This window comes from Homo sapiens, chromosome 4, assembly GCF_000001405.40.
Source record: "Homo sapiens chromosome 4, GRCh38.p14 Primary Assembly".
Taxonomy (NCBI): domain Eukaryota; kingdom Metazoa; phylum Chordata; class Mammalia; order Primates; family Hominidae; genus Homo; species Homo sapiens.
In genome coordinates, this window is record NC_000004.12 from 86029000 (window position 1) to 86052168 (window position 23169).

The 23169-nt window shown below is 36.8% G+C and overlaps 1 protein-coding gene across 10 annotated transcripts in view; it reads right to left on the bottom strand.

Moving 5' to 3' along the window:
- Positions 1-23169, bottom strand: part of MAPK10 (mitogen-activated protein kinase 10) — a 583670-nt gene that overhangs the window by 18595 nt on the left and 541906 nt on the right. For all 10 annotated transcript variants that reach the window (XM_047415964.1, NM_002753.6, NM_138982.4 and 7 more), the window contains 2 exons: positions 2369-2432; positions 198-275 (listed from right to left, as the gene is read on the bottom strand). In XM_047415964.1, coding sequence (XP_047271920.1) covers positions 198-275; positions 2369-2432 — 142 coding nt within the window. The remainder of the gene's footprint in view (positions 1-197; positions 276-2368; positions 2433-23169) is intronic.

Consider the following 23169-nt stretch of genomic DNA (forward strand, 5'->3'; position numbering starts at 1 on the left):
TTACCATCAGAATAATCAGAATGAATGCCACACTGAATATCAAAAGAAATAAAACTAAAATCATTATAAGGACACAACCATGTGATATTTGTCCATCTGCTCTTTAAGCAATGTTATGTTATTTCTTGCAACCCCTACACAAAGGCCAAGAAATTACACAAGTACTAGTTTATTGGTTATTCACGGAGAGTGAGTACCTGAAGGAGAAGGCTGTCCTTTTACTACACCATTTTTAGTCTTTTCTTCTGAATTCATTACTTCCTTGTAGATAAGTTCTGTAAGAAACAGCTGTGTTATTATAGAAAACAAATTTATCCTTCATCCACAGGGAAATTCATTACTTAATGCCAAATAATTACGTTTTGATGGGGTTGAGTAAATTAAAAATCAATTGAGATTCCTTTACTGCTCTATTTCTATTTCTATATTGCCTTGTAATTAGCAGAGAGCCTGGCACAAATAGGTATCTAGTAAAGCAGTTGAAGAAATCAATGCATGAAAATTTATTTCTACGTACATGAAACATACTATTTATTTCCATATACATAGTATTTATTTCTACATACATTTCTACATAAATAACATTTATTTCTACATGCATGAAATATTTCTACATAAATGAAACAAGTAATACATGTTTTACTTGTTTTCTGAATTCTTTGGGGGAAGTACTAATACATTCTAGCTCAATCTAGCAACAATTTTTATGGCTTTGAACATCCATTTTTCTTTATACTTATTTCCTATGAAATGCACACATTCTCATGACTTTAAATTATTACCAATCCTTACAACTTCCATCTCTTACTGCATCTTTTTTTTTTTCCAGACTCATATCTTGGACTTGTAAATCTAAACTTGCCAAAAACCAAACACATTAAAAAATTTAGTTCATTTACTCTCAGACTGGCATCCATTTTTGGCTTTCTGAATGCTAGAGTTAAATTGGATAGTTTCAGTTCTGTTTACTCTGTCCCTTTAGCTAAAAATCATTCCGCCCTACTCATTCTTGCTTTGCAATGGCTTATAATCTGTATAATCATCATCCTTTACATGTACTTCTTTCTCCAATTTCTCACAATTTAGTCCATGTCCTCCTCAAATGATGGTTATATCCTATCACCCACCTATTCATGAGCCCCTAAGGAGTGCCTTCCTGTCCTTACTTGGATCAAAGCAACTCTTTTTCATCTATATCAAGCATCTTTTTTCACTTGATCCACTTTTTGTATATGTTCATTTTTCCATATTCACCAACATGACCCTGGAATCTCTGGACCAGTGGAATCTCTTTAGTATCTTTTAAAATTTTTTTATTTTATTTTTTATTTTACATATATATATAGAGAGAGGCAGAGACTTTCTCTGTCACCCAGGCTTGAGTACAATGGCACAATCATGGCTCACCGCAGCCTCAACTTCCTGGACTCAAGTGATCCTCCCACCTCAGCCTCCCAAGTAGCTGGGACTACAGGTGTGTACCACTATGCCCGGCTAATTTTTGTATGTTTCTAGCAGAGACAGGGTCTCCCTATGTTGCCCAGGTTGGTTCTGAACTCCCGGGCTCAAGTGATCCCCCAGCCTCAGCCTCCCAAACTGCTGGGATTACAGGTGTGAGTCATCGCTCCTGGCCCTGTTTAGTATCTTTATAACATTTTCTGCTTATTCCTGTCCTTTGTTTTCCTCTTAGTCCTTTATCTGATATTTTCTTAATATTTTTTCTTTTCCTAATTTACACTTATTAATTCCTGCAAGGTAGCTCAAATGTTCCTTCCCTTCAGCTCTTCCCATTTTGATCTGATCATTTGCTACAATCTGCATTTGACTTTCTCATATTTATTCTATTCTGTAGTGATTTAGATTAGTAGATTAGATTAATAGGCTACTCAGATACACATATTTTCTATGTAAATTCTCAAGTCTTATCAATCCAATGAGTAAACTCATATATTGACTATCTTTTATTTTCTAAAGTCTAAAACCATCTCAGAATTAATTTTAATTTCATGCTTCATATGATGATTTTATGTACAAACATAGAAAGTTGTATTCTGGAATTCTGAACTAAAGCTTGCCCCCCACCATGACAAACACTGACAATCAGTACCATTTTAAAAGGTATCGACAAACACTGACAATCAGTACCATTTTAAAAGGTATCAATGGTAAATGCCTTTCATTCTTGAGCAAATGTGACATTGCTTTCGGCATGAAAAGACAGATGAAGTTTTAGGAGCTTTAAAAATGGTCTAAGAGAATAGCAGTCAGCAAATCATTTTTTAGTAAATTGTTTTACAAGGAAAAGCCTTGTTGATACTTTCTGAGTTCAATAAAATAAAAAGTATACTTTTTTAAGTAGTAGACTTACCTTTCCATTCTTCAATTGTGTGTTCTCTTTCATCCAACTGCTTGTCATATATCTGAGGTGGAGGCTGCCGAATAAAAACAAAAAATAATCTTTGTGTGATAATGTAAACATAACTAAACTCTTACAATGCACGAGAATACCTTGCCCTCATTTATTTCGGTGATTTCAACCGTATATAAGTTATGAGGAAATTACAGTAGTTCAGAAGTTAAAATTTTCCTGTAAACTTATGGAGGATTCATTCATATTGCAATATTTGCTGCTGACCCAATATTGCTGCAATATTTGCAGCAGAACGCAAATCCCGAGAGCTCACTTTCCGACATCTTCTGATTTAGAACCCACGCCTAAGCAATTAATGACTGGTCTTTTAAAAAACAGACAAAACACTTGATTACAATGGCCCAGAAGCTACTTTTCCTTCATTCACTTGCCTTATAACAGAACCATGCTAAAATTCTTCTAGGCTAATAAGATTTTGTTCTATTTTTAGACCTTCCCTAAAGAAAAGTTTATATTTCTCAACAGACCATAGTACTAGTCCTCAATATAAAAAAAATTGAGATCAAATCAACCTTTTTATTTTTCATGAAATACCATAGAATGTCTTTATATATTGCTGTGTGCCCTATACTTAAACGATTTTAAGCTTTTTGGTTTGTTTGTTTATTTGTTTTAACCTGCAGAAGCTGCCATGACTGTAGAGGTAGGTCACCTTGAATCCCTGAATGGCCCTTGGTTAGTCCTCTCTAGCAGAAATGATGCAATAGGGCCTTCAGTCTGACTTATAGAGCCAGCATTTCTCTTCCCATGTGGAGTTCAAATGTGGAAAAGGAGGGATTTTCACAAACCTGCGTGCCTACTGGAAAGTGGAATCTCAAATAAATTCTCTGACCTCTTCTTCCTGATATTTAGGCTTTGGGAGATCTACCATGGCGGCTAGGGTAGCTCCAATTCAGGCCAAGTGATATGGAAAGAAAAAAAAAAGGCTCTTGGAAAAATAAATCACCATGAGGTAGAGAAAGAGGAGGCTGAGGGGCTACACTGGCTGGCACCGGTTTAAGCGCAAAGAAGAGCTATCAAGTTTTTGCTACCCCGTCCAATACTCCAAAAGCAATAGTTTTTGTGAAAAACTAAAAGAGTCACTCAATAAGAGTGATGCAACCCCTTTAGGACACAGACCTTTCAAAAATGGCTATTATAGTAAGGAAAGCTCTGGACAAGATTTTCAGAGACAGCTTCTGGCTTCTGTGAGAGCTTTTTGGCTCATGAACAGCACCCTCGGGCTAAAGTGACCCTTCTCTAATTCATGCAGAATCTGTGGTAGCTTGAATCATGACAGACACAAATATTCATCCTAGCCCTGGCATGCTGGGGCCTCACATCCTGCAAAGTATCTGGCTATGAAAATAGAAGACTTTGCCTGGCTGTGGTGAAGTAACTTAGCATAATACTGAAGTATTGAGAAATAACTACTCACGGAGCCAGACATTCTTTTAGCACGTTTGACTGATACTGGGGCAGAAGGCTGTAAACCTCACCTACTGCAATTCAGATGTGGCTGGCTGAGCAGCTCTCAGCAGCCGTCAGCACTGACAACTAAGCAAAATGAGACTCTCACACCACCCCAGACAATAGTAAGAACACAACACATTGAACGTATATAAGGTGACAGGACTGGGATAGTCAGGCACTGCTCTCAGGACCTGACTGAGGTAGAACCTTCCACCTCTATAAAGGACTCTCAAATAATAGAAACATTCTGACTTAGTGAGTGAATGAGTAAAATGAAGTTATTTTTGAAAAATTGTGAAACCATTACCTAAGGAAGCTACCACAAAGCCAAACTCTGGTTTTGTAAAGACGCTTTGCCAAGTGGTAAATTTCCGGCTTTGCCTCTTCCTGAGCATGTATAATGCTGTGGTTAGGCCGCTATCCAAGCGACCTTGTCCAGGACCCCTGCAGGACACAGTGTACATAAGCTCTCAGAGCCCCCAGAGCCCTCTGAGCTGTTGGCACCTCCTTCTTCTTCTAACAATAGATCCAGCTCATGATCCTGCCTGGCTGGCTTCTCCATGCAGTGGATTTTTCCATTCAAGTTTTAAAATTGAACATGGCTCAAGAGTACAGTTCCTGCCAAAGTTCATAAATGCCATTTTCTTTTTGCAACAAAGCTATTTTCAGGAGGTTTCCCTAGGAGCCTCAGTGTACAGCTGTTGCTGATATATAAAGCACAAAGTACATAGACACTAATCACAAACAAACTACAAGAGAGAATGCAAAGTGCTGAGTTCAAGATTTTTCCTTTCAACAAACCAAGAGGGCTGCTTTAAACCACTTGATTTATAGTATTTGTTCGACGGCCTCTGCAAATTTACTACATATTCAGATTTTTGATTGTTTGTTTTTTGAAGAGGAAATGCGAATGTCACCTCCAGTGAAAGGGCACATTCACATACAGATGTCTTCTATGTGACAATATAAAAGAATAATTGACCAATAATCCAGAGAGAGCAATGTTACAACACACACGTATAAGTGCTGGGCAGCAATCATCAGGATGAGATAGTTCAAAACATTCCCTGCCTCCTTCCGCTAAGGAGAAGTTGGTATTTGAGCACTCGCTTGTGCTCTTTCCCTATCTTATTTAATAGGAATTATTCTTTTGCTAAGTGACAATCTAAATAAAAAATAAATGAGGAGTGGGGATAAAGAAAAATGCCCCAGAGGTGTCTGTTGAGAGAGTATTTTAGGAGAGTTTAGCAGATAAGAGTAATTGAGATGTGAGAAATGAAGGATAAGAGGACATTAAAGATAGTATATGAACAGTTATCAGGGCCTGTGACTTTCACCCTTTGAATATTTTTTCAAAAGACTGTAAACTTCTTTCATATTATTTTGGAAGATTTGAACTTCCTTGGTTGAAATTATTGCAGAAATTCAAACACAAATTTATATGGATTGCATAAACAATAACTTAAAATGGATTAGACACATTTTTATTGATGGTTAATTTCATATGAATTTATATTGGTGGTCAATTATATGAATTTTATACTGATGAAACATGTCCAAATTGTTTCAATTAAATGAGGAAAAAAACACAAACAAGTACATGGTCACTGTGAATTAATAAATACTAGAATTTATTTATTTCTTTATTAAATGTATTCATTCAGTAAAGGTCTTGGGCACCTAACACATGGCAGACTATATAAAAAACTGAGATTTCAAAATTGAATAAGGTGACTGCTGACCACAAGGAGTTCACAATTTACTGGGGTAAGACTGATGCAAAACAGATCATTAGTATACAACATGATAAATGATAGAAACCTGTATATGGTCTAAGGGAACAGGGTGGAGAAGTCCTAACAAAGCCTAGATTTGATTTCCTGGAGTAAAGTGATGCTTATTCAGTGAGCGAAAGATGTGTGGGAGGTTGTCAAGATAAAAGAAGGAGGAAAAAAGTGACTCCATGCCAAGAGCACATTATAAGCCAAGTTACAGTATGTAGAAAACAGAATAGGGGTGGTGGTGGTGGTGGTGGTAGTGGTAGTGGTGGTGCATGTGTTTCTCTGTGTGTACATGCATGCCAAGAAAACAAGAAGGAATTTTGTCACAGTAAAATAAAACATGTCGTCAGAAGTGACAAGATATAAGAGCTGTACTTAGAGAAGCAGAAGGGTCAGACAAAGGGTGGATCAAGGATGATCCAGGGGGCCAGGCGCTGTGGCTCATGCCTGTAATCCCAGAACTCTGGGAGGCCGAGGTGGGTGGATTATTTGAAGTCAGGAGTTCAAGACCAGCCTGGCCAACATGGTGAAACCCCACCTCTACTAAAAATACAAAAATTAGCCGGGCATGGTGGCAGGCACCTGTAATCCCAGCTACTCGGGAGGCTGAGGCAGGAGAATCGCTTGAACCCGGGAGGTGGAGGTTGCAGTGAGCCCAGATTGTGCCACTGCACTCCAGCCTGGGTGATAGAGTGAGACTCTGTCTCAAAAAAAAAAAAAAAAAAAAAAAAATGATCCAGGGTATCATGATACGGAAGAAAGAAGAAGAGAAACCACTGAGGAATGTAAGAGAACGGAACAGTGAAATTTACAGCTGGATTGAAGAAAGATGTAACTGTAAGCAGAGAGAAGAGGTAGGGAGCCATTGCACGATCTATAAAAAAATATTGAAAGTTCTGACTGCGGTTAAAAAAAAAAAAAGATGAGGGTGAACGAAAGACACAGATTCAGGAATAATTAATAAATGTTAATAAATAAACTTGGTAGAAGTTGGTTTTTGATTGAACATATGTGATGGGAGAGAAGAATATGAGTCCCCAATTTCTAAGCTGAGTACCTGGGAAGATGATCGTGTTGGTGAAGCCATCTAAAGAAATAGAGAATGGAAAAGGGGAAATGAGATTGGTAGAGGTGAGCCTAAGTGTTATGTGAGAAGAGATGATGATTTGAAAGTTAAGTATATAATCTGAAGTTCAGAGGAATGCTGTTGGCTAGAGATGTGTATAGATTTGAGACTAACAGCAAGTGATGTTTGTTGAAACTATGACAGTGGATGAGGTCACCCAGGGAAGATATGTGGGTATAGAGAGTAAATGGCCAAATTAAAATTTAAAGATTGGACAGAGGAAGGTAAGTTCACTAAGGCAAAAGAGAATAGCTAAAGAAATACATGAAAAATGAGAATATTGCAATGTTATAGAAGTCAAGCAAGTAGAATTTCACAAAAAGCTAGTAATTGGCCATTTCTTGCAAATGAAGCACATGAGGATTTTGACTCGCAGGGCACCAGAAAGGCATGATAGAAAGCATGCCTCTGAACCCTTTGAAAGCTTTCCAAACTTTAAATTGCTATCACCCCCAGAAAGATCCAGATAGATCTTCGGTGGAGGACGTTAATATGAGACATCACCTAAACAATTGAATAAAATGTAGAAAAAGATCCTCAACACCAATATAATTAAAAGGAAAGAAACCATAGAACAATTGTGACACTAGAAAAACTATAATGATCTCAGATCTACTCTCTCAAGTCTCTGAGAACTTGATAAAAAAAAAAACACTGTTCTCTATCTAGTTAAAGGAAGTCACTTTTTTTCTGAGAAACCACCATATGTTAAGCTGTCTTTATATAGACCTTAATAATCCTCACAGTCAGGAAACTAAGATTCAAGGAAATTTTAAAAAATATATCATGAAGTCATATAGCTAATTAATGATGAAACTTTTATTAAAACCCAATTTAAAGAGTAATCCAGAGCAAGTGTCAATACTGTTGAATCTAAAATAAAGACTAATAAAACAATATTTAAAGTGAACATCTTTGTAAAACAAGAAATAGAAACATAAGCCAATAGGGTGACCATATTTCCCAGTTTGTACAAAATAGTTCCATTTTATGCTTATTGTCCTTGTAATTATTAGTAGCACTTACGCCCTTCGCTCCTTTAAGTGTTGTGGTTTGGAGAATAAATATGTGGACACTCTACATAGCAATGTTGTGACATGGCATGTTAGAGATCTAAGGTATACAGTAATTTGAGGACAAAGAAAACAACTGAATTGCAATGTTTTTCTACCACTGAGGTTTCAACAATTGCAGCTGTACCTTTTCCTTCTCTGAGACAGCACGTCAGCATTTCCTTCCATTTTCTCTATTTTTAGAAACGTAAAATTCAGCTATAAAATATGGCTGTTGGCAGACAGTACAGACAAGAGTAGAATTCTGCATAATAAATCTATAGTTGAAAAATATGGATTCTGTGGGCATTCTATGGAGTTCTTGCTGTTGGCCATGACTTTCTACTAAAGCGATCTCTTTAACAAGTACCTGTTCAATTCCTAATTGAGCTTTCGAAGGTAAAAGTTGCTCTTTCTGCCTGTAATCCCAGGCCTTTGGGAGGCCGAGGTGGGCAGATCACGAGGTCAGGAGATCGAGACCATCCTGGCTAACACAGTGAAACCCCATCTCTACTAAAAGTATAAAAAATTAGCCGGGCATTGTGGCAGGTGCCTGTGTTCCCAGCTACTCGGGAGGCTGAGGCAGGAGAATGGCATAAACTTGGGAGGTGGAGCTTGCAGTGAGCCAAGATCACACCACTGCATTCCAGCCTGGGTGACTGAGCGAGACTCCGTCTAAAAAAAAAAAAAAGTTGCCCTTTCTTGTGACTTCATTCATTTTATCCCATATATATAAGTAATATTCATTGAGTAAAATGTGTGAATTTATTTTTTACTGAATCTTTGAGATAATTTTCAAAGATACATGGGAAGTATCTTTTTCAACAGCATTATAGGATATTAGTGGTAAAAGAAAGTTCAGAGATTATCTAATGCCACCCTTATTCAATTTTCAAATGAGAATATAGAAACTGAGAAAGCATAAGTGATTTGCCCACAATCACAGAGTTAATTAGTGACAGATGAATACATTTATGGTCTCTTATGGGAAAAGACAGAATAATGGAATTCTTATGGTTGAAGAAACATTAAACTGGATAATTTGACACCTGTAAAAGATATTCATTAAAGACAAATTTGTGCCTGCCACACACTGATTTCTGTTCCAATTTTCTGTCAGTCTACACTTACAGCTAGAGCTGGCAACTATCATACAAGCAGTCAACACTTACATTCTTAAACACTTTTTTGTCAAAGTATCATGGACATCAAAGACCTCTAAACACATGAATCTCTAAAGAGATAAAAACCAGATATGAGAAATCTAAGTTGTACAAAGTTGTTCCTTTGATTCTTCTTTGAGCCCTGAACTGACATTTTTCCCTAACACTTATGCTCTGAACCATATGACAGTCCATCAAGTTGTTGGTGTTTGTCTGCTTTGTCCTAATTAAGGATCTCCCTGTGTTCTGCTGCCTTGTTTAAAATGTCAACAAAAGCTTTAAATAGCACTGTATCTCAGTGTGTGCACTCATTATTAATTCAACATCTGGATCAAAGTAAATGATATTATATCTTACTGAAATATGCTTTGTTTTTTCTTATTAAGCTTGGCAGTTAGATGATTGTCAAAAGATGCATGCTTTATTAAAACGCTTTAAGCAAGAAGGGTATATCTTAGTACAAAATTAGATAGAACAGGAAATCCATTAAGGAAATATACAACATTTTGATTTTATATTTCCTTGAATCTCTACACATAGAGTTTTCTAATTTTTTTTTTCTTAATTTGATGACTAGGACTTGTTAAATTTTCACCAATTAATTAGAAAATAAAAATTTTGGTAAAATGACTCTGATGAAGCACAAAATGATATGCACTTTTATTGTTTTATTTGGCTAATGGCACAGTTTAGCATGTCCAATTTTTCTCTAAAGCCTTATATTCTCTGTGGCACCAACAGCAGTTCATTACCCCAAAATGGAGCTCAGTATTTGTTTCACAAATAGTCTTACCAACAATCGCCAAAATAATGAAAATATTATTGCAATATGCACAATTATCAAAAGAATTGATTAGATATAATTAATTCCTATGATTTCTCAGTAATGTGACCTTACTATGCATTAAGCAATGACCTGGTTTCCAATTACCAAAAACTTCATTGCCTTCTGAATGTAGATATATGGCATTTTGTGATGTACTATCCGTTGATTATTAAAAATTGCTTCAGCAAGTTTCAGGAACTATGTCTGTGTTCTCAAACAGAAATTAAATAATATACTACTACAGATTAAATAAATGCCTTTTAAAAGTATGATTTGAGGAGATGTCAGCAAGATGATAAAATAAGGCTCTCCAGTGCTCCCTCTCTCACAGAAACATCAATTTGAACAACTATCCGCACACAAAAATACCTTCACAAAAGTGAAGGAAACCAGGTGAGAGATTTCAGCACCTGGGTATAGCACGGAAACAAGAAAAGATGCACTGGAGAGAGAGGAAGGACAGTTTCACATTACCTGCTTCACTTTTCCCCCAATTACCAGACAGCACAGCATGGAGACAGATACCCTCCACATGATGGTAGGAGAAGGAAGTGAGCATCAGACTTTGCCTTAGACCCCAACACTGGGCCTGCCACAGAAAAACCCAGCACCAAAGAGACCCTCACAGCCCTAGACACCAGGCTAGTACTTGTGGACTGAGCTTCCACACCTTTCCCAGCACTGATCAGGGGCTTATAGCCTTAGACTCAAGGTCTATACAGCAGACTTGGTCTCTGGGCCACTCTACTGCCAGGTCTACCTTAGCAGCCCAGCCTCTGGAACTTCTCCAGCACTGGGCTGTCCCCTATAATCCTGGACATCAGATCCATCCCAGTAACTGACTATTTCCTGCAGACTCAGACTCAAAGCCAATCCCAGAGCCAAGTAGCCCCCTGTGGACCCAAGGATAAGGCCAGCCTCTACAGATGTAGGCAAATATTTGCAGACATAGGCGTCAGGTCTGCCCTTGTGTACCCAGGTTTCAGGCCTATCCATGGGGACTCAATCAATAGGTCCACACTTGTGGATCTAGACTTAGGCCCAACCCTATAGACCCACCCACCTGCTGACCCAGGCACCCAGACACCAAGCCCAGCCAACCTACCTGAGGACTCCAACAGCAGGCCTACCCTTAGACGACACCAAATGGCATGCACAGGTTCTATGGAAAGGCTGACTGATAAAGAGTTTTCCCAGACAAAGCCAGTCTGCAAAGACTGGAATAAGCCCTTACTTCTTCAGATGCACAGACATCAGTGTAAGGAAATAAGAAACATGAAAAGCTGAGGTGACATAAACCACCAAAAAAATACAAAAATCTCCCAGTGGCTGAGTCAAGAGAAGTGGAAATATATAAACTAAGAGACAAAAAAGTCAAAATAATTGTTTTAAGGAAGCTCAACAAACTTCAAAAAAATTACAGGGAAACAATTTCATAAAATCAAGAAAACAATAAATAAAACAAATTTAATAGAGAGATTGAAATTATTTTTCAAAGACAAAGAGAAATCCTATTGCCGAATATAATGAATGAATGAAAAATGCAATAGTAGGATTGATGAAGGAGAAGAAAGAATTTGTAGCCTTGAAGACAAGTTATTTAAAAATATATGGTCAGAAGAGAAAAAATGAAAACAAATAGAGAAAGTTTATGTGATTTATGGGAGAGCATCAAAAGAGCACATTTTTTAGTTCAAGAAGAGAAAGACAAAGGGGTAGGAAGTATGTTTAAGGAAATAATAACAGAAATGTTTTCATATCTTGGGAAAGACATATTCACGTAGAGGAAAGTTAAAGTTCTCTAATCAGATTCAATTCAAACAAGATTACACCAAGATATATCATAATGAAATCAACAAAAATCAAAGACAAAGAAAGGATCCTAAAGGCACCAAGAGAAAAGAAGCAAATAACATTTAAGGGAATGTTCCTATCAAGCTAGCAGATTTTTCGGCAGAAACCTTACAGGCCAGGAGTGTATGGGACAACATAATCAAAATGTTAAAATAAAATAAAAAAACTATCAATTAGGAATACTGTACCCCACAAAGTTGTCCTTCAGAAAAGGAGAGATAAAGTCTTTCCACAACAAAAGTTGAGGGAGTTCACCACCAGACCTGTCTCACAAGAAGATGCTTAAGAGAGTTCTTCAGGCTAAAAGAAAAGCATTCTAATTAGTGACACAAAAACATGTGAAAGTGTAAAACTCACTTACAAAGATAAGTACACAGTCAAACTCACAACACCCTAATACTGTAATGGTGGTATGTAATTCACCTATATCTTTACCATGAAGGTGAAAAGAAAAAAACTACTAAGAATAACAATAGCTACAATAATGTGTTAAGGCATCTACAACCACCTGATCTTCGACAAACCTGACAAAAACAAGCAATGGGGAAAAGATTCCCTATTTAATAAATGATGCTGGGAAAACTGCCTAGCCATATGCAGAAAACTGAAACCAGACTCGTTCCTTACACCTTATACAAAAATTAACTCAAGATCGATTAAAGACTTAAATGTAAAACCCAAAACCATAAAAACCCTAGAAGAAAACCTAGGCAATACCATTCAGGACATAGGCATGGGCAAAGACCTCATTACTAAAACACCAAAAGCAATTGCAACAAAAGAAAAATTGACAATTGGGATCTAATTAAACTAAAGAGCTTCTGCACAGCAAAAGAAACTATCATCAGACTGAACAGGCAACCTACAGAAAGGGAGAAAATTTTTGCAATCTACTCATTTGACAAAGGTCTAATATCCAGAATCTACCAAATTTACAAGAAAAAAACAAACAACCCCATCAAAAAGTGGGCGAAGGACATGAACAGACACTTCTCAAAAGAAGACATTTATGTGGCCAACAAACATGTGAAAAAAAGCTCATCATCACTGGTCATTGGAGAAGTGCAAATCAAAACCACAGTGAGATACCATCTCATGCCAGTTACAATGGTGATTATTAAAAAGGAAACAACAGATGCTGGCGAGGCTGTGGAGAAACAGGAACGCTTTTACACTGTTGCTGGGAGTGTAAATTAGTTCAGCAATTGTGGAAGACAATGTAGTGATTCCTCAAAGATCTAGAACCAGAAATACCATTTGACCCGGCAATCCCATTACTGGGTATATATCCGAAGGATTCTAAATTATTCTGTTCTAAAGACACATGCACACATATGTTTATTGCAGCACTATATACAATAGCAAATACTTGGAACCAACCCAAATGCCCATCAATGATAGACTGGATAAAGAAAATGTGGCACATATACACCTTGGAATACTATGCAGCAATAAAAAAGAATGAGTTCATGTCCTTTGCAGGGATATGGATGAAGCTAGAAGCCATCATCCTCAGCAAACTAACAACTAGCACAGGAACAAAAAACCAAACACTGCGTGTTCTCACTCATAAGTGAGAGTTGAACAATGAGAACACATGGACACAGGGAGGAGAACATCACACACCAGGACCTGTCAGAGGGTTGGGGGCAAGGGAAGGGAGAGCATTAGGACCATACCTAATGCATGCTGGGCTTAAAACCTAGAAGCTGGGTTGATAGGTGCAGCAAACCACCATGGCACATATTTACCTATGTAACAAACCTGCACGTTCTGCACATGTATCCCAGAACTTAAAGTAAAATTTTAAAAAAAAGTGTTAAGGGATACACAATATAAAAATATGTTAATTGTGACATCAAAAATTTTAAATGTGGGAGGAATGGTGGAGTAAAAGTATAGTTTTTTAAAAATGCAAGCAAAAAGTTGTTATCAGCTTAAAGTAGCTTGTTATAACTATAAGATGTTTTTGTAATTCTCATGGTAACCACAAAGTAAAAATTTATGGTAGAGACAAAAAAGATACAAAGTAGGGAATCAAAGCATACCACCAGAGAAAATTATTTTATCAGAAAAAAAAGACAAAAAAAGAGGGGAAGAAATGAACAAAGAACCTACAAAACAACCAGAAAACAATGAGCTAAATGGCAGTATTAAGTCCTTACCTATTAATAATTACCTTGAATGCAAATTGATTAAATTTTCCAGTCACCTTGGATGTGAAGGGGGCTGAGGGAATAGAAAGAAAAGACTCCAAGGTATCTCATTATCCAGATGAAAACCTGGATAGAAAGTAGTGCCATGAATTGGAAGGAGGAAGCATAGATTTGGTGTAGAGAGGAGATATGGCCAGTTTAATATTTAATATGTTGATTTTGCAATGCCAATTTCAATTCCAGTGACTGTTAGATTTATACATCTGGAACTCAGGCCAGCTCTATGGGACGATGTGTAGAATTGAGCCATTTATGATAATTAAAATTAAGGCTGTGGTGGAAGATAAGACTCCCAGAGAGAAAAGAAATAAGGGCTATAAAGAAAAAATTTCTGAGATGCACAATTCTAAGGGAAGAGAGAACAACCCACATTGAGCAATGGAGGCTGCAGGAGAACAGGTGTGCTGCCACCACAGAAATTAACATGCAGGGGTGCAGAAAGGAAGGTGTTGTCAGCTTATTCAAATGGGCAAATACATGAGATACCCATTTTTTTGGACTTGGCACCTAAGAGGCCACTGGTGAATTTAGAGAAAGCAGTGTCAATGTTTAAAAAGTGAACTGGAGTAATTGTGAGTAAACAAGGACTAATGTTTTATAGAGACTTGGCTATAAAGCTATAAGTCATACTTCCATTGCTAAAGGTAGAAGTGTAGTTAAAAATAAAGGTTTGCTTTGATTCTTTGTTCTTTGAAATGAAAGAGACTAGAACATGTTTATTTGTAAGAAGTAATTGCCACTGGAAACTGAAACATAGGACACACACAGAGAAGGAAGAGACCCACATGCAGAAAACAAAGGCTATAAATAAAAGAGTACAGTGTCCTGGGTTTTCCTGGATCTTGTGTAAATGACTCCATCACAGCATTATCATGTTTTCTTCTCAACATCTTCATCATTCTACTACCATTCGTAGAAAGTGGATTTTCATATATTATCTCATTTAGTCTTTGTGACAAACCTCCTATTCCAAGTATGCAACTGAGGCACACAAAGATTTAAAAATCTATGAGTTAGTAGCAGAGGCCATATTTAAACCCAAATCTAACTGAATACAATGTCTGTGTTCTTTGCATTTTTCCACCCCAGGCTTATAGTTCCTACTAATTCAACCTATTGAAATATATTTTAACGTTTTATTAGGCAAACAAAGCAACAGAGAACAGCAGGGAAAAAGGCGACTTTATCTCTAGCTGACGGGGCTCTTGAAATGCTGTTAATCAGGATTCTAGATACAAATTTCCACGTCCACTCAGAGGGGCGAGAATGTGCAATATATTGTGATGCTGCCACCTTGTGGCAAGAAAAAATGAAAACATTAAGAGGTGCTTTGTGTGCATATTTATCATTTTCAATTAAATTGCTCTAGTTTATGGTTCAGCTACGGCTGCACATTGAAATCATCTGGGAGTTTTAAAAATACTGCTGCCTAGATCCCACCTCAGAGATTCTGATTTAATTGTTCTGGGGTGAGGCCTTGGTGTCAGGATATTTTTAAACTTCCCAAATGATTCTAACATGCAGCAAAGATTAAGACCTCTGCTCTAACCACTTATACAGTAGAGAAGCAAGTCTTGTCATTTGCCTAGTTATGTTTCATTTGTATAGACGCAAAAGAAAACATTCTAGAGAAAGTAGGTGATTTTCTCTCAATCTTTAATGGCATCTAGTTCTTGGTAGAATACAATGATTTCTGGACAGATATATCATATACTATGATTTTAAAGAACAGGACAAAGAAATTTGTGAATTGTAATCAAAGTGGACACAAGATTTGTGTCTCATAATCAAATGCAGTCCGTAGACTAAAGTGAGCAGGGAGAATCTCTGAGCCTCATAATGCGTCACAGGTTTTCTGAAAGGAACAATGGAAAGAGCACTGAAGCACCATTGACTCTGGCACTAGTAAGATGAGTGACCTTGAGCAAGTCACTCAGTTTGCAATGAAAGATTTTCATCTACTGCTTTATTCAAGAGAAACTAGTTCCAAATGTTCAACAAATATCATACCAGGTAATTCAACAAAACTTTCTTAAGTACTTGCAATGCGAAAAGCATGGAATTATAATGTGTTATAAATGGAAAGCACTAATGTTGCTTAGAGACATCATAGCATTAGGTGACCAGAGGAACCTTTGAAAGCTAGTAATGCAAATTTTAATTATGATCTGAACTGAGTGTAATTAGAAAGCTTAATTACATAATGCTCCAGTGGTTTGGCAAAGAAGTTGAATTCAGTTTTCTCTATTTTTCATTCTGTTCTGTAGTTTTCTCAGATTTATTTATTAGCTCTACACCATCAAAAAGTGTAATCATGTCTTGAAAATGAAATTTCTCTTTCCTGCTCCTTGGAAATTAAAATTTTCTATGGTTCTTTAACTGAAAAGTTTCAGTAATTGCACCACCAATCACCCAGTGCCTTGGTCAGGAATCTTTCTTTCTTCATTCGTTCATTTAACACATATTTATTAACCCTCTACCATATGATATTACTCATCTTTGAATTCCACCTCCCTTAAATTCCAAATTTAATTATTTACAATTCATGTCAATTATTAGCTTCTAAACATCTCTTGAATATTCTGCCCATGTCTACAGTGATTTAGATTACTACAGATCTATCCTCCTGCCTTCTAGCTCCCTTTTCTCAACTCCAGTCCCACACTGCAGACAGTGGCCCTTTGAAACTTCAAATCTGCTAATGCTATTGCCCCACTTCCTAGTGAATGGCTTCCCTTCACCCTAGGATAGCATGCATGGTACATGACAATGCTTGGGAACTCCTTCCTTATCTGGTCCCTGCTTACCAGCCCAAAATAATTTCTCACCCTTCTCCATTAAGTCACTCAGAAAGCTTAAAGCTTTGCAATTCTCTCCACCCTCTCTTGACCCTGGGATTTTTGCATATACCCTTTCTTCTGCTTGCCTTTCTTCACTTGGATAATTTCTTTTTTAGCCCTTCATGTTCCTGTTTGAAAATTAATCACTCCAAGCAGCCTTCTGTAACCCACATTACTGGGTTATTTTTATGTGTTTCCAATGTACAATAAGCTTAAAATTTGGAATACGTATCATCAACATTTACTTATTTATCTTCTCACTAGACCATGGGACAAAGAATTGAGAATAAAAGACCTAGGAATCCAACTTACAAGGGATGTGAAGGACCTCTTCAAGGAGAACTACAAACCACTGCTCTCTATTTGTCTGTTATTCGTGTATAAGAATGCTTGTGATTTTTGTACATTGATTTTGTATCCTGAGACTTTGCTGAAGTTGCTTATCAGCTTAAGGAGATTTTGGACTGAGATGATGGGGTTTTCTAAATATGCAATCATGTCATCTGCAAACAGGGACAATTTGACTTCCTGTCTTCCTATTTGAATACGCTTTATTTCTTTCTCTTGCCTGACTGCCCTGGCCAGAACTTCCAATACTATGTTGAATAGGAGTGGTGAGAGAGGGCATCCTTGTCTTGTGCTGGTTTTCAAAGGGAATGTTTCCAGCTTCTGCCCATTCAGTATGATATTTGCTATGGGTTTGTCATAAATAGCTGTTATTATTTTGAGATTTTGGGCTGAGACAATGGGGTTTTCTAGATATACAATTGAAAATCTAGAAGAAATGGAAGCACAGTATATAGTACATAGTAGATATCCAACAAGTATGAACCATTGATGAAGAACAATTATTTGCATTCAAAAATCTACGATATATTAACTCGGAAAAATTGGTCAGGTAAAGAGATGAAATAAATTATGACATGTCTGACATTACTCAAATAATTTTTAAAAAGTAGATTCCAGCTTTTGATATACACATATTAGCCACACAATCATGGGCAATGTGCTTAACATCCATTAACATCCTGAGCTTTAGTGTCTTCAATTCTAAACACAGATACATTCATTCAGCAAATATTGATTATATGACTACTAAGGGCCAGACAGTGTTCTAGGTAGTTGGGATACAGCAGTGCCCCAAAGAGTCACTGTCTCTCTTTTTACGCATCTTAAATTCTAGTTGATGAGACAGATAATAAAAAGAGATATATAATGTCAAACAGTGACACATAGAGAAAAAAGATTAAGAGGCTAGAGTGTAACAGAGTACTATTCTATTTTTTCTTTTTAGTTTTTTTCTTTTTGTTTTTGTTTTACTTTTTAAACTATTATTAGTATTATTTTTACAAACACTTGTACCAAGGGCTGACTTTCAATAGATCACAGCAAGGATCCCCTCTGCTACATATGAAACCCTGACCCAGAAGCAGGTCATCTACTTATGTTTTAGTGCCAGGTTACACACGAATGTGTGTTACATGACGGGCAAGGGGGCGGCCGAAGAGTACTATTTTAGAAAGGATGGTCATAAAAGGCTTCTTTGAGAAGGTAACATTTGAGCAGAGATTTGAATGAAGTAAAGGAGGGAGCAATGTGAATATCTGGAGGAAGAATGTCCCAGGCAGAAGGAAATACAATGCAAAGACCCTAAAGGGGGAGCTTGCTTGGTGTGGTAAGGAAACCGCAAGGATGCCATATACTGGTGCAGAGTGGAAAAGGGAAGCCTAAAGGTGATATCAGAAAAGTAGGCAGGAGCCAGACTAAGTAGAGCCATGTTTTCCAAACTGCAGTCATGAAAACAAATTGGTGTCATCACTAGCACCTTTTAGTGTAACTAAGAAGAGTAAAATGAGATAGAAAATATCAGTGTATGGTTTTTCTTTTGTGTGTGTGTACGTGTGTGTGTGCACGCACGTGCACTTGTACACGCATGCTGGGTTGCAATGTAAAACACCCTTCTTACTATGGGTTATGATAAAATTTGAAACAACACTGTGGTAGGGCCTTGCAAGCCATGATAAGTACTTTGAGTTTTGTTATAAATATGATAAGAAGCCATTGGAAGATGGGAAGGTGTTAGCTGAGGAATTATGTGAATGTAACGTGTTTTACATTTTAAAAGGAAAATTCTAGGCATTCTGCAGAATGGACCACAAGGGACAAGAGTGGTGCTGAGAGATAAGTCCCAGAATATTACATGGTCCAGGGTAGAAATGATGTTTGCATAGATGAAAGGATGAGAAGTGATCTGAGTCAAGGTATATTTAGAAAGTAAGTTCAGTTAAGAGTTGTTGAGGATAGTCATCATTTTCTAGAGTTTTTATGAGGCTTAAATAAGATTGGATATCAGAAAGGGTTTTATAAACACTAGAGAAGTGCTCAGCAGAGTACAGCTGAGTTCAATTCAAAGGGCATTTACTGACCATACACTATGCACCTGCCATTACTCTCACTGTTTTCTCTGCACTCGGTAGATAAAACTGAATTTCTGCTCCCAAGGAACTTTACAGCAGTAGAGTTGTGGAAGATAGACATAAAAATGAATCACTGCAGCATAATGCACAATATGATAATGGCATATGGAAGGTTCTAAAGAAAATGAGTTAACTTAAAATTCTGAGAAGCAGTAGCTTTTGTTGCAAGCCTTTCTTTTCATAGGTAAAAGATCACATTAGCCCCAAGGATATTCTGTAGGACAAATATGAGCTAAAAATGAACTAGAAAATAGCTCTAGGTGAAAAACACATCGAACACAGATATTGCTGAGTTAGTCTATTAAAGCCACATGTCATTTGCACTTTTGCCCTACAGTCACAAAACAAAAGCAAATGAACAAGGGAAAGAGGATCTTCAGCCCTCCTACATAAGTAACATGAATCAATAAGGAGTCATCCTGGAGACCACAGAAAACCACACTCTTCCAGTTAGCATCAATGAATAGCCCCAGGATACAAATCCACAGTGAATGAAGAAACATAGCTACAGAATTAGAAACATTATTAAGGAAAATTGATTTGAGTATACTTCACTAATGTTAGAGGGATAATATTATATTTTAGGTTGAAATGTAATAATTTTTTTAATTCCAAAGTGTCTATTAATTTTAAAATATACATACTTTTTGTTACAAATATTTATTTTTCCCCTTCATACCACTAATCTCTGTGAAAAAGTTTAGAATGTGACATAAAGGTTCTAGGTTAATGAAGTCTTTCAATCAAGCATAAAGACTTCTGCTAATCTAGTAAAAACCGCCCCTTCTACCTACATGGATTCAATATATTTGTTGCATTATATAAGAAAGCATTTGTGTACCACATTTACATATGAGATGTTTATCAGAAAGAAAGTGGTGCTCTGAGGAGAGGGAGATGGGGAACAGAATCACTTGAGAGTGAGGATTTATTTCCAATTAATTAACATGCCCACAAGAATCTGCCATACCCCACATGAAGAATCATTGCTTTAATATAGATTGATGAGTTGATAACGTTAATGAGTTGATGACTGTCTCTCAGGTATGTTGGGGAACAAAAAAGTTTGAGAAACAAATACAGTCATAAAGAACTATATTCTAATAATAAGGCGTTACCATTGCTCCTACTTTTTAATGTATTATATACATTATTATATAATACTTTTTAATGTATTTAATAAATATATCTCATAGTGGATTTTCTTAAAACAGAGCTTGCCTTTTCATTAAGTAATTACTCCAAGGAGTAATTTTAAAAGAAAATAAGTCTAACTGAGCTTTTGTGTTAACATGATAGGAACTGATAACATTTCCATTTTTCTTATGTCACATAGACTAAAACTGTTCAGTTTAAAATAGTTCAATTACCTCCATAAGCTTTAAGAAAACCTTCTTTAATAACATCCTATGTTTTCAAAGTTAATTGGGTACTTTCACATTTTTTTCCTTTAAAACATTATTAGACAGGACATTTCATGGGTAAAGATTAGTGATGCAATTATACCACCATCTCTGAATGTCATTCTTTCTTCATCTCCATTGCCATTGAAGTCCATTTTGTCATCTTTTATTTCAACTACTTCACTAGCTTCCTAAATCATCTTTCTACTATTTTATCACTTCATCAGTCAGAAAGAATGATCTACCTAAAACACGAATCCCATTGTGTTACTCCCTGATTAAAATCTGTTCCCCCAAGCCTGCAGCTTGGGTACCCTCTGGGAATGACTTAAAAGGTGTTTCCTGACCAGGACCCTGCTTACATTTCCAGCTGCATTTCTCACCATTCCCTTCCCTGCTCACAGTGAATTAACTCATAGTTCCCCAGGTGTGTCCTGGTTCATCTTCTCTCCTGGCCATTGAGCAGGCTGCTTCCTTTGCCTACCAGATTCTACTCTTCCACCTCCATTTCACTTGGTAACTCTTGCCCATCCTTTTGGTCCCATTTGAGGCTTTTCTTCCTCCTAAAAACCTCCTATGTCTGCTATAGGATGAGTTATGCCTTATTCCTTTGTGTTTCTATGGCACTAGTACTATGGTTATAGTATCTTACTTACTTACATATTAACTCTACTACAAACTACTAAATAACAGAAACTATGTCTTTTTATCATTAGAATTAGTCAATCTTCAATGGCAGCGTACACTTGAAGCTTAACAAAAGTTTAAGTGAATGAATGTGGTGGACCTGTCCAAGGTATGATGAGACTTTGAGTCCATGTCCTCTAATTGTTGACCCACAGTGGTTTCCACTGTGCTCTACTGTCTCCCAGTGCCATGACCTTGGTCTCCACACTCTGTAACTCTTGGTCCTCCTCCCATTGTCTGTCTACAGTCCTTTGCTTTGGGAAAGCTAGACTAAGTAAGGCAATATTTTAAATTAACTAATTGCAAGCCAAGTTTTTTGCCTGGATTTGAGCTTAGCCTTCCATTCTTGGGGGAGCTATTCATTACTTAAGAAAACCTACCTGTGACTATGCATGTAAGAATTCTGGCTAGGAATAAACTATTGTTCATGATTAAACAGGAATGGTGCAAGAGGCATGAGCAGGCCTACCTCAGAAAAAGAAGTGGTAACAGATTGCTGTACTATGAAAACAGCATTCTGGCATATATGTCCTGAAAGAAAGTCACCAAAAGTTCTTTACGCTAACTTAGTCAAAAACAACACATACCTTAGGTAAGAAATTTTCAGAAAAAGTGCTTGAGGGTTAGCTAATTTATCTCTCACTTTTTACAGAGGAACATCGAAGGAATTCAGCTTTCAAAATGCACCTAAAGATAGAAATCAGATTCTTCTTGGAATTAGAAACTGTGGGGAGCATCTTTTGATTGTTGATTGAACTCATGTTGTTTTACATACATTATATTCTCTTTCACAATATATTGTGGGTCATTATTCTACAAACAACCCTCTGAGTCTCATATGAAACCTGCAGCAAGTTATGGAAGTGGCTTTTATCATTCTTACAATTGCCCTACCATTAGAAAGGGACATAATAATTTTATTATAGCACATACTCCTGGAAAGACCATAAACTTTTAATAGACTTGTAAAAAGGGAGTGTAACCTTTTCAATATTCTGTCTCATCTATTCTACCTTCTCCTCACATATAACGAATGCCCTAGGGCCTAAGTCATGGATCTACACTTGGGAAGAAAATGTTGAGATTCAGCCTTTTCCCTGAATCTGAAGGTTACCATGATTTAGCACCCAGGAATAGTTTCTGCCTATCCTTTTTCTGGTTCTTTTGCAGCTCTGCAACTTCCAGACTTGTGGTCTATGTAGAGTTGTGATGACATTCCGACTTCATGTCTATAGCTTTCATTTAGGGATTTTTAAATGTCAGCATAAACATCCTACAGCGTTTAAAGTTGTCTTCACATCACCACACATATTCATTTTCAGCATCATTAATGATTACACTTTCTGATTATTTTCCTTTCTCTGCTAGACTGTCAAACTTCTTAGTTTACTTCCTAATATTGATAGCATCACCAGCTCTAAGCATGACTTCTCAAACAAGATGTTTGGTTAATTTTCTGTGTGTTTTTGTTGTTGTTCATTTGATCGTCTCAACTTTTTGTTGCAATGCACAACATAACCACCTTCTTAGATCATGGACAAAGAAACAAACAAAAATCTTTGGAGACAAACATGGCAGAGGAAAATAAATATCGCAAAGGAAGTGAGTGCTTCCGAAAAACAAAGTGGAAACAAAGTATGAGGAACCCCTGAAAGCCTCACAGCATAAGAAAAGAACTAGCTACTTGAAGAGTAGACAGTGGCTATTAATTTCTATTTCTTGAAAAAAAAATACCATTTTAAAATTGTCAGGGACCACAAGAAACTGTTTTTATAATGTTAATAGTTTTTTTAAATCACAATAATAAAAATTGAAAGCATAATATTTTACATTTATCAGTTACTTCTGCCTCCACCACTTT